The 11,703-nt window shown below is 57.3% G+C and overlaps 1 protein-coding gene across 20 annotated transcripts in view, besides 1 other annotated feature; it reads left to right on the plus strand.

Moving 5' to 3' along the window:
• The window catches only part of SGSM2 (small G protein signaling modulator 2), a 43,554-nt gene extending 34,660 nt beyond the window's left edge, over positions 1-8,894 (plus strand). For 6 of the 20 annotated variants that reach the window (XM_011524101.4, XM_011524105.4, XM_011524106.2 and 3 more), the window contains 12 exons: positions 30-94; positions 183-328; positions 793-921; positions 1,171-1,353; positions 3,332-3,715; positions 3,977-4,101; positions 4,573-4,655; positions 4,799-4,908; positions 5,697-5,793; positions 6,876-7,043; positions 7,252-7,333; positions 8,105-8,894. In XM_011524101.4, the coding sequence (XP_011522403.1) occupies positions 30-94; positions 183-328; positions 793-921; positions 1,171-1,353; positions 3,332-3,715; positions 3,977-4,101; positions 4,573-4,655; positions 4,799-4,908; positions 5,697-5,793; positions 6,876-7,043; positions 7,252-7,333; positions 8,105-8,129 (1,597 nt within the window). In that variant the 3' untranslated portion in view covers positions 8,130-8,894. Of the gene's footprint in view, positions 1-29; positions 95-182; positions 329-792; positions 922-1,170; positions 1,354-3,331; positions 3,716-3,976; positions 4,102-4,572; positions 4,656-4,798; positions 4,909-5,696; positions 5,794-6,875; positions 7,044-7,251 lie in introns of those variants that run through there. The other 14 variants (XM_011524102.4, XM_017025474.3, NM_014853.3 and 11 more) reach the window with 6 other exon arrangements.
• Positions 10,661-10,870: an enhancer, noted in NCBI's record as "active region_11492". NCBI's record gives its function as "activates an Ori minimal core promoter by ATAC-STARR-seq in GM12878 lymphoblastoid cells {active_cell/tissue: GM12878}" and the evidence as "EXISTENCE:reporter gene assay evidence [ECO:0000049][PMID:35858748]".

Below are 11,703 nucleotides of genomic sequence, written 5' to 3' on the forward strand. Positions count from 1 at the left end.
CTCCCTGCTGAGCCCGGTTGTTGCCACAGGTTGCCGCTCAGGCTACTGTGTGAGAGTATGAAGAGGCAGATCGTGTCCCGGGCCTTCTACGGCTGTGAGTGTGGGGCGCGCCGGGCTGTGGCGGGCTGGGGGCGGGCGGCCCTGGGTCCCAGCCTCCTGCTGCCCACCGCTGCCCACCGCAGGGCTGGCACACTGCCGCCACCTGTCCACGGTGCGGACCCACCTGTCGGCGCTGGTGCACCATAGCGTTATCCCACCTGACCGGCCCCCGGGGGCCTCCGCGGGCCTCACCAAGGACGTGTGGAGCAAGTATCAGAAGGACAAAAAGGTGCCAACCCTGGGGTTCCAGGGCCACAGGTCGAGGGGCTGGGGCGGGCAGGAGTGAGGGCTTCAGGGTAAAATGTGCCAGTGGGTGCGGTTGACAGGCCAGGGCCGATGCCACGGAGTGACCAGGGTCCCGGCAGAATCTCTTGCAGCTGGGCCTGGGGCTGACACGGGAAGGGGGCTGGACTGGGAAGCCGTCCTGCCTCCACATCGCCCTGTGACCCTGGACAAAGCTTTGCCTCTCTCCGGGCGCCATTTCCTGCCCCTTAAGGAAGGAGAGCAGAACGAGATCTCATCCCACTGTGAGCTGGGGCACGGGAGGACGTGGCCACCCCAAAGCAGGCCTTGCCTGGGCTTCAGCAGTCACTACAGGCCCCGCCCCAGCCCATTCTCCGTGGGATGGGGCTCACCCAGCTGGGCCACGGTGACTGTGGAGGCTGCACAGTCTTGACTCCCCGGGTCCCTCAGAACTACAAAGAGCTGGAGCTGCTGCGGCAAGTTTACTACGGAGGCATAGAGCACGAGATCCGCAAGGACGTCTGGCCCTTTCTGCTTGGCCACTACAAGTTCGGCATGAGCAAGAAGGAGATGGAGCAGGTGAGGGGAGCCTGTTCCCATGGGGCTGATGAGATGGGGAGCTGGGCCAGGGGACGCCAGGGAGGGGACCTTGGAAGCCTCAGCCCCTTCCCAGCCGGAAAGAAGCATGGCAGGGCAGCTCCACCGTCCTTACCCTGAGGCCCGTCTTGAGTCTGAGACTCAGGACCCAAGGTCCAGTGCAGGCCCAGCTCCTGAAGGGGAGGGCCTGGTGCACGCTTCCCCCATGGTCGTGGTGTGGTCTGAGTACAGGTGGACGCAGTGGTGGCAGCAAGGTACCAGCAGGTGTTGGCAGAGTGGAAGGCCTGCGAGGTGGTGGTGAGGCAGCGGGAGCGGGAGGCCCACCCAGCCACACGCACCAAGTTCTCCTCAGGCAGCAGCATCGACAGCCACGTGCAGCGCCTCATCCACCGAGACTCCACCATCAGCAACGATGTGAGCCAGACGGGACCTGGAGGGTTGGGGGTCTCGGGGGCCACCCGCGTTTTATGCACAGTGGTCCTGAGCACCAGCCTGACCTCTGGGAACTGGTGGGGCCCTGCGAGAAAGGCCTAAGGTGCCTGTGTCTCATTTTCTCCAACTGGAAATGGCTAACTGTGCCTCTGCTGCCTACTTCTCTGGGTATTGTAGGAATAAAGTGAGAGAGTGCATTGTGCTCAGTTTTAGCCAACTATAGGGAAAGATGGACTTACTGGGATTTAGGGAAGCCCTCCTCCTTGTAGAAAGACCTCAAAGCTAGCAACAGGCAGCGCTGGGTTCTAGTCCCAGATCCACTACTGACAAGCTGAATGTCTCTGGGCAAGCACTTCCCGTCTCTGGGTCTCAGTTTCCCCTCTCCACCCATATCCTCTGACTGCAGAGGCTTCCTGAGATCTGTGGGCCTGAGAATAGGGGAGCCCGTAGAGCAGCCCCATTGGTGTCGACTGGCGAGATCCTTCCTCCCCGCGATGTTGCCTGTCACTGTACAGAACTGACTATGGCAGGCTTGTTCGGAGCACGGGAGGGTAGCTCTTTCTGGCATCACTCCTGCCTTTTGAACAGCAAGTTCTAAACTGTGACTGCCTGGCCCAACCAACACTGATAAGTTTCAATTTTAAGGACGCTTTATTAATTTTTCTTTAAAATTGCCTCTTTAGATAATGTGTATTCTTGTTACTTTACTAAATCCTTACCAACATTAACAGAAAATGTAAGTTGAAGTAAGTTAAATATAACTGGCTGGGTGTGATGGCTCATGCCTGTAATTCCAACACTTTGGGAGGCAGAGGTGGGAGGATTGCTTCAGTTCAAGAGTTTGAGACCAGCCTGGGTAACATGGCGAAACCCTGTCTTTACAAAAAATGCAAACCTTTGCCGCATGTGTTGGGGTGCGCCTGTAGTCCCAGCTTCTCGGGAGGCTGAGGTGGGGGGACCACCTGAGCCATGGAGGTTGAGGCTGCAGTGAGCCGTGATACCACCACTGTACTCTAGCCTGGGCCATAGAGTGAGACACCCTGCCTCAGAAATAAAATAAAAAAAAAGAAATAGAACAAACAAGGCACATTGTCATTTCCCACGTGCTTTGTTCTTAATCCCCTATCCAGGAACACATTCTCCCTCTCTCTGGCTTTGGGTTTTGTAAAAATCTGTCTGTGCCAGTGCCCAGCTGCTGAGCTCATGGACAGCAGTAGCTCCTCGCTGGCGTATTAGATTGCCACAGAACCGTGGCCTTACCCAGCACTTCATGCTTCCTGCCCAAAGTAGAAACTACTTTTAGCATTGCTTTCCCTACGTGGTGAAAACAGAGAGAGAAAAATCCCAAACAGTCTCTGTATGTGTCTCTTCTTTTCCTCGTGCCTTGTCCATGGTGGTGGACTGTATCTAGGAGGCAGAATGTTTGCTTTTCCTTCCTACATCTCCCCACCTTGCCTGAGGGCTAATGGAACTGACTAGGTGCTTGCTACAGAACGTTCCTGTCTTGTCCTGCTGAACACTCAGTACTGAAAATAAGGCAAAACTTGTTTTTCCTAAAACCTCTAGGCTTCTCTCCACCCAGCCACACCAAAACACTAAGGCCATTCTCCCGGTCTCATGACTTCAGGCGTTTCTAGAATGAGACTGAGTTCAAACTGGCCATTGAGCGTTCAGCCCCCTGGCTCCCCTACTTCCCTTCAGTAGCCACAGGAAGACCTGGGGCTGTTCCTTCAAGCAGGGCTGAAGACGTGTCTTCATGTTTGGCCAGAGGCTTGTTTCTCTCCGCCTGGCTGGCTGGGTCAGAAGCTGGCTTGGTGCCCCGTGGCCACAGTGTTGGAGGCTGTGGTGGGAGAGGGGGTGTGAAGAGTTTTGCATTCCAGCTCCCTTCTGGCCCGAGGAGGCGGTGGGCTGCGGGAAGGTGCTGGAGTGCAGGTGGAGCCGCCCTGTGTTCACCCCCCAGGTGTTTATCTCAGTGGATGATCTGGAACCCCCGGAGCCCCAGGACCCTGAAGATTCCAGACCAAAACCTGAGCAGGAAGCAGGACCCGGGACTCCGGGCACCGCCGTGGTGGAGCAGCAGCATTCCGTGGAGTTCGACTCTCCAGACTCAGGACTGCCCTCCTCTCGCAATTACTCCGTGGCCTCGGGCATCCAGTCAAGCCTAGATGAGGGGCAGAGCGTGGGCTTCGAAGAGGAGGACGGCGGTGGGGAGGAAGGCTCCAGTGGGCCCGGCCCTGCAGCTCACACTTTGAGGGAGCCCCAGGATCCCAGCCAGGAGAAGCCTCAGGCCGGAGAACTGGAGGCCGGAGAGGAGCTTGCGGCTGTGTGTGCGGCTGCCTACACTGTGCGTACATGCTCCCCAGGCTGTTCCCAGCCGCCCCAGAGGCCCTCCTGACATCCCAGAGCTGGGGAAGCGCTGGTGGGGTGGAAGGCGGGGCGCCCTGACTGCCCTGGAAGGGAGTTCTGAGCCCATTTCTCAGCATCCCCACAGGACTCGCTCTGGTCTCTGGGTTCCGTTTTGCTGCATTTCTTGGGGCGTCACCTCCTGCCCCCAGCCTGGGAAGGGCTGCCCGGTCTCATGCCTGAGGGCCCTCCACTCTTCCAGATAGAATTACTGGACACTGTGGCCTTAAACCTGCACCGCATAGACAAGGATGTGCAGAGGTGTGACCGCAACTACTGGTACTTCACGCCCCCCAACCTCGAGAGGCTCAGAGACGTCATGTGCAGGTGCCTTGTGGGGCGGGGCTCAGGGTGGGAGGCGGGACCCTGCCGCCAGTTACTCTGTGAAGATGAGGTCCGGAAGGTGCCCTGCTCCTCTCTCCTGCTCCTGAATCACACTTGGCTCCCCCTGCCTGGAACGCTTTTTTCCTGCACACCCCTCCCCCGCGCCTCTTCATTCTTAGGGGCCTACCAGACCTCCACTTCAGCCACACCTCTTCAGGAAGCTTTCCCTCATCCCCGCACCCCCGCCCCACATACCAAGCGTGACGGCCTTGGCTCTCCCTAAGTCGGAGTGCCTTGGGGGGGACCCGTGGGTTGTTCCCCGTTGTCTCCCTGTGGGGGGTGCACAGTACATGCCTTAGGGTCGTGGAAAGGCTGACTTCTGGGCGGCAGGTGGCTCTGGAGGACGTCTTCCCAGGGATCCCGAGGGAGGGAAGAATGGGGCACAGCCACAGTGACTCTCCCCCTGCCTTTCAGCTACGTGTGGGAGCACCTGGACGTGGGCTATGTGCAGGGCATGTGCGATCTGCTGGCGCCTCTCCTGGTCACCCTCGACAATGGTGAGGGATGGCGGGACATGGGACTGGGCTGCGTAAGCTGGAGAAAGGACGAGAGGGTGGCCAGGTCTGGAGGGGTGGGAATGGGAGCCGGCTCTGTCCCCTGCGTCTCCTGCCCTGCCAGCTTCACTCCTGTCTCCCCTCAGATCAGCTGGCCTACAGCTGCTTCAGCCACCTCATGAAGAGGATGAGCCAGAACTTCCCCAACGGGGGTGCCATGGACACCCACTTTGCCAACATGCGCTCCCTCATCCAGGTGAGGCCGGTTGCCACCCATGGGCATGGGAGCAGGCAGTGCTGGGCTGGTCCATCGTCCACATGGCTAGGGAGCATTCCACAAACATACTTGACATAGAAACTTAACTTCTTTCATTTTAAAAGACATGGTTTCAGCAGGGCAACGTGGCTCAGGCCTGTCATCCCAGCAATTTAGGAGGCCGAGGCAGGCGGATCACGAAGTCAGGAGTTTGAGACCAGCCTGGCCAACATCGTGAAACCCCATCTCTACTAAAAATACAAAAATTAGCCGGGCGTGGTGGCACACACCTGTAGTCCCAGCTACTCGGGAGGCTGAGGCAGGAGAATCACTTGAACCCGGGAGGTGGAGGTTGCAGTGAGCCGAGATCACACCACTGCACTCCAGCCTGGGTGACAGAGCGAGACTCTGTCTCAAAAAAAAAAAAAAAAACCATGGTTTCAGCGTTAGAAATTGAGGAGGAGTGTGTGTGTGTGTGAATGCTCGTGCCCATGAAAGTTCTGGCGAACAGTAGGGGTTGCTGATGACATCAGACACCCAGAAAATCCTATAACCCTAAAAATAATGCAGCTCAGAGAGATGGGTGATGGGAGGGGCAGCAGGAGCAACCCACCCTCCACAAGGAGATCCGAGGGGGAGAGAGTGCACCGCGCAGCACAGGGCAACAGACAGACCCACTGCCAGGTTGGGGATCGCCTGCATCCCTGGGCGTGAGCGGACGGTGAGTGGCGGCCAGAGGCAGCATCGGCTCAGGGCTCAGCCTCTCTCCCTTTTCCCACCCACATAAGATCCTGGACTCAGAGCTGTTTGAGCTGATGCATCAGAATGGAGACTACACCCACTTCTACTTCTGTTATCGCTGGTTCCTGCTGGATTTTAAGAGAGGTAAGAAGTGGGTTGGATCATGGGGCTGAGGTCAGGGACAGTGAGAGATCCCTCTTCCCCCAAGCCAACAGTTCTCAATCCTAACTGGACCTTGGAACCACCTGGGGAGCTTTAAAACCTGCCAGAACCCTGGCCCCACCCAGCCCAGACTCATGAACTGTGGCTGCCTGGGCCTATGGGTTCTTAAATGCTCGCTGACCAGACACAGTGGCTCACGCCTGTAAACCCAGCACTTTGGGAAGTCAAGGTGAGAGGATCGCTTGCACCCAGGATCTTGAGACTAGCCTGGGCAACATAGCGAGACCCTGTCTTTAATTTTTAAAAAAGAAAGAAAAAATGAGGCTGGGTGCGGTGGCTCATGCCTGTAATCCCAGCACTTTGGGAGGCCAAGGCAAGCAAATCACTTGAGGTCAGGGGTTTGAGGCCAGCCTGGCCAACATGGTGAAACTCCGTCTCTACTAAAAATACAAAAATCAGCCGGGCATGGTGGCGGGTGCCTGTAGTGGAGGCAAGGTTATGGTGAGCTGAGATTGTGCCACTGCACTCCAGCCTGGGCAACAGAGCCAGACTGTGTCTCAAAAAAAAAAAAAGAAAAGAAAAGAAAAAATTGAAAAGAAAACAAAATTTCCATAGGTGATTCCGAAGTGCCACTAGGGTTGACAGTTACAACTCTCATAGATCATAGTTTGGGGAACTTTTTTCAAACCAAAGCATTCCTGAGCACCAAGATGGGAGGCCTGTGACAGCTGCCCGGCTGAAGTGCAGGCAGAGTCTGCAGGAACCCAGTGTGCAGAAATTACCCAAGAAAAGGATGGGGCCTTGGTACGGGGTACAGAACCCCCATTCCTGAGCCAGGCTCTGTGTCATGGAGAGAATCCCACGACTTTGGCCCCTGAAGCTCTGATCCCTCACCTGGCTCCATTTAGAGGCCTGTGAGCAGCCAGTCCGGCCAGCATCAGCCCCAGCCCCAGCCTCAGCCTCAGCCTCAGCCCCAGCCTCAATCCCAGCCTCAGCCTCAATCCCAGCCTCAGCCCCAGATATGCGGCTAGGACGGGTGAGCAGCAGCCGCTTACTCTCCGCAGAACTGCTGTATGAGGATGTGTTTGCTGTGTGGGAGGTGATCTGGGCAGCCAGGCACATCTCATCGGAGCACTTTGTCCTGTTCATCGCCCTCGCCCTGGTGGAGGCCTACCGAGAGATCATCCGTGACAACAACATGGACTTCACTGACATCATCAAGTTTTTCAATGGTACGAGCTGGTCCAGCCATCCAGGCTGCCCTGAGCAGAGGTGTGGAGGCCCCCACCTCTGCCCCGCACACAGCTGGAGGGTTCTCAGGAATCCTGGGGGCCCTTCCCCAAAGGCCGGGATGTCAAGAATCTAGCAGAGCAGATGGAAACAGAGCAGGGTAGTCAGCCACCTCCTAGCCTGCTGCCCTTTCTCTGGGCCTCTCTACAGCTCTTCACGTTTCCCCCCAGAACGTGCTGAGCATCACGATGCCCAGGAGATCCTGCGGATTGCCCGGGACCTCGTCCACAAGGTGCAGATGCTCATAGAGAACAAGTGAGCTGGGGCCAGGAGGCAGCAGCCGTGCAGAGCCTGGGCTCCGGCAGGGAGAGGTGCAGGGGAGTCACCGCCCAGACCTCCCCAGCCACCAACCGACCCCACCTCTGTTCCTAACAAAGCGGTTGTGAGCCTGGATCCGACTCCCGGCAGTGCTGACCCTGCAGGGCAAGTCAGGGGCCAGGATGCCCTCGGATCAGGGCCGGGATGGGAGGGGTCAGCCTCAGGGAGCAGCTGCCTTGGGGGACACACCTACTCTGCTCCCCTCTCACACATCTGGGAGTAGCCCCACTGCCACCTGCAGCCGCAGCCTGGACTGCTGCCCACGAGTGAACCTGGGGCCCCACAGGATTAACAGGGGCTATAGCGGCCTGGGCCCTACTCAGCTGGGGTGGCAGAGGGCGAGAGGCTCTGTGCTGTGTCCCTTCTGAGGGTCCCTTTGCAGTCCCAGTATATTGTGCGTGCACCAGCCCCAGCTGGAGCAACCAAAACTGCTTCTGGTTTAGGCACACGTCACGGGTGCGGGAGACCCGGGCACGGGAGACCCGGGCCGCCTTCAGGCCGCTCCCCCGAGATTCTGGGGCAGTCGGAAGATGTGGGCCCTGGGTGGGAGCAGCCCACTTCAGCAGCACTGCCACTGCCTTTGGCCACCTGAGGTGACCCCCAGGCCTCCCCGGCCTTGTACAGTGTACCTCTGTGTATCTGTACAGCCTCGCTCCTGCCACCCCACCCTTGCGTTCTGCATTAGGTACTTCCCTGAAAACCACGTGTAAGAAGTGATGCTTTTGCCAGTGGATGATCTGGAATGCGACCGGAGCACTTGCTCTGAGGAATCCCAGGGTGACTCTGTCGGGGAAGAATCCGGTCACAGCCTCCCCTCAGAGACAGGCCTCAGTTCGAGGGCAGCCCATTATCTGTCGCAGACATCTGCCATGTCCCTGAGACTGCGGGAGGCAGGGGATGCATGGGTGTCCCCATCTGTCCCTGGTGAGAAGCAAGGCTAGCTCTGCCTTCCACATGCTTCTCAGGATGCCAAGAGGCCTAGGAACCCAGAAACCCCCTTGGAGGAGCTGTGTATGCGGGGGTGCCAGGAAGGGCATAGCTCCTGCCCCCAGGCCTAGGCATGCTGCTTGCTCGGCCATCCCCACTTCCTCCTCTACCCCAACACATGCAGGCTAGGCCTTGCCCTGGAACATGGAGGCCCTGCCCGGGGCTGGGGCCTAGTCCAGCAGCCACCAAAGTCTGGCAGACTTTCTGCATTTGAGAAACATGACAAAGGGCCCCGCAGCCCTTCTGCACCCAGCACAGCCTGCCCAGCCCAGCCCTGCCCCCGGGCACTGCACAGCCTGTCTGGGGGCCAGACCACCCCATTGTCCATCCTTGTTGTCCGTGAGTCCTTGGCCTCCACCAAGCACGTGTGGCCATTGTGTGCCTGCCTTAGTGACTCCGTGGTTTTGTGAGGAGCAGAGTGTGTATGATTTTTGCCTCAGAAACTATACTCTTCTGTGTAACAGACCAATAAACAACATTTGTCAACACTGGAGCCTCTGGGACTGGACACTGAGAGACCACGTGCCTTCTTTAAGCTCCACAGTCGGCCAGCCCCAAAAGGCGAGGACGGCAAAAAACTAAAGTTTCCAAGAGAGGTACTCCAGCCGCCAGTCTGGAGGGTGTGGGCTGGTCAGGAAGTCAGGGTGATTTGATAGCCAAACCTCAAGTACTCAGCGCCCTTGAGGGGACCTCACCCCAGAGTCATGGCCCCATCTCACGATGACCAGTGGCCCCTCTAGCCTGTGGATGAGAGAAGGTCCCTGTCCCATCCCTACCCCCTGCCTGCCCTACTGACCAGGCTGCAATGAGAAGCTGGAGCTTGACTATGCCACTGCAGCTGATGGCAACGGAGCTGCCCCTGTGGGTGTGGCTCTCACCCCGAGCACTGTCTGAGAGGCCGGAGGGGAGTGTCAGGAGGAGTCAGACCCTGCTGAGCTATAGACAGGCCCAGCTGTAACGGGTCTGCACCTCTCTTCCTGCCCTTCCCCAACCCGAGTGCTACTGGTCCCATCGTCGATGGCTCCAGGGAGAAGACACCAGTCACACAACATGTCTTCTACCCTAGAGGACACTGGCTTCCTGGACATTAGGGCCTGTTTTCCACTCACTCAAAGCTGAAGACCCCAGCCCATGGTCCTAGCAGGCTGAACCCAGCTTTATTATACAGAGAGAGAGACAGACAGATAGACAGACACAGAGTCTTGCTATCTCTCCCAGAATGGAGTGCAATGGTATGATCATGGCTCACTGCAGCCTTGAACTCCTAGGCTCAAGCGATCCTCCCAACTCAGCCTCCCAAGTAGCCAGGGATGCAGGCCCCCATCATGGCAGTTTTTCTATCTTTTTGGTAGAGGCAGAGGCTCACTGTTGCTCAGGCTAGTCTTGAACTCTGGCCTCAAGCAGTCCACCCACTTGGCCTCCCGAAGTGCTGGGATTACAGGCTTGAGCCACTGCATCTGGCCCTGAACCCAGCTTTTAGGAAAGAGTGCAAACTAGTGGCCAGAGCTACCCAAAGAAACCAGTTGGTGCAGAGAGAGCTCTGGGGCCAGGGAACTTGATGAGCCCTTCAGGGGAACACCCCCGACCCGCCAGCCGACTCTGTTGCCTGGAGGAGTCAGAATTCCTTTGCTGTGACCACCTAAAGGAAATTTCACCTAGCCTGGGAGTAACCCTTCACACACTTCCGTCCTGCCCTACTCCCCCTGACTACTGGACTGGGATCCTGGGACCAGAGGGGATCCCACAGCTTTTCAAAACGATGGGACAGCTGGGGCGGGAAGAGCAAGCAGCACAGTGGGCTCTCCAAACACCATCTCAAGGAACCTTTGCAATCTGGAAAGTCAGGTCTTCCTCTTACAGAGCAGGAGCTGGTAAATGGAAGCACCTGGATTCATACTTTATCCTGACCACAGGCCCCTTTCTTATAAGCTCCAGCTGAGCCATGGGTGAGTGAGAACTGTGGGTGAGGGGGAGCTTTGAGTACAGCTTCTGCCTAAAGATTTAGTGACAGCCCTCAGATGACAGCCAAGTTATCACTGCCTGGGGAGGGTCTTCATCTGTGTTCCCAGTGGGCACAGGGCCTGGCACTGAGCATGCACCCAGGAAGGGTTAACCCTCACCCTATCCCTTCCCTAAAGCGTCGCTTAGTGAGCTAATGGAAGTGACCCAGCTCTTCCAGGAGCTACCAGCAGAGGGAGCCCGCGTCTCACAAGTAAAAAGGGCAGGCTCAGTAGGGAGGGCTGGATTCCGAACTTTCATTTTAATTAAAAAAATTTTTTTTGAGACAGAGTCTCGCTCTGTCTCCCAGGCTGGAGTGCAGTGGCGCAATCTCGGCTCACTGCAGCCTCCACCCCCCGGGTTCAAGTGATTCTCCTGCCTCAGCCTCCTGAGTAGCTGGGATCATAGGCATGCACCACCATGCCCGGCTCATTTTTGTATTTTTAGTAGAGAAGGGTTTTTGCCATGTTGGCCAGGCTGGTCTCGAACTCCAGACCTCAGGTGATCTGCCCACCTAAGCCTCCCGAAGTGCTGGGATTACAGGCGTGTGCCACCGTGCCCGGCCTGAACTTTTTGAAGTCAACTCTTCTCTTTCAGAAAACAGGACCCAAGACAGCACTCCCTTCCTCAAGGATAACCCCTACCCACCCCACCTCAGGAAGAGACGCAGAGTCAGTCTCCCCTGTGGGGACTGGGAGTCAGTCAGGTACTGTCAGGGTGGAAATGAGAAGCTGGGCCCCCTTGCCCAGCCTGGTCTCCAGCAAGGCCTAGCTAGTGGCTCCCTGACCTCACTTCCCACACCACCTCCTCCCATGACAGCCTGCCCAGGGAGAGAAGACACAGCCACAGGGACAAGGGGCTTCCAGCCCAGCTGAGAACACGGCTCTTTGCCCCTGACCTCCAGCCTCTTCTTCCCCTTGTTCCTTTCCCTTAGAGGACAGCTTTATGGACTCCCCGGCTGACCTGTTGTAACTGCACCCCCAGAGCAGCCCCTCAGGAAGCTCTCACCCTCTGTGCCCAATCCCTGGGGCAACTCCCCTGTACCTTTTTTATTGGATCCGAGTCTAGGACTGGCCCCAGGTGCCACAAGGGTGGCAGATGCTGGGTAAGAACTCTGTACCCAGTTCAGAGGTCTGACTGCAGCTCCAACGAAGTCTCCAGCTAGCCGTGTGGCCTCAACAAGTCACTGGGCCACCTCAATCCTGTTTCCTTATCTGCCAAAATGGGGCTAAGTCTGGCTTATTTACTTCACTTGGCTGTTGAAAGATGAAACAAGATAATGCTTGTAAAATGGTCTGA

The sequence above is a fragment of the Homo sapiens genome, chromosome 17 (genome assembly GCF_000001405.40).
Source record: "Homo sapiens chromosome 17, GRCh38.p14 Primary Assembly".
Classification (NCBI taxonomy): domain Eukaryota; kingdom Metazoa; phylum Chordata; class Mammalia; order Primates; family Hominidae; genus Homo; species Homo sapiens.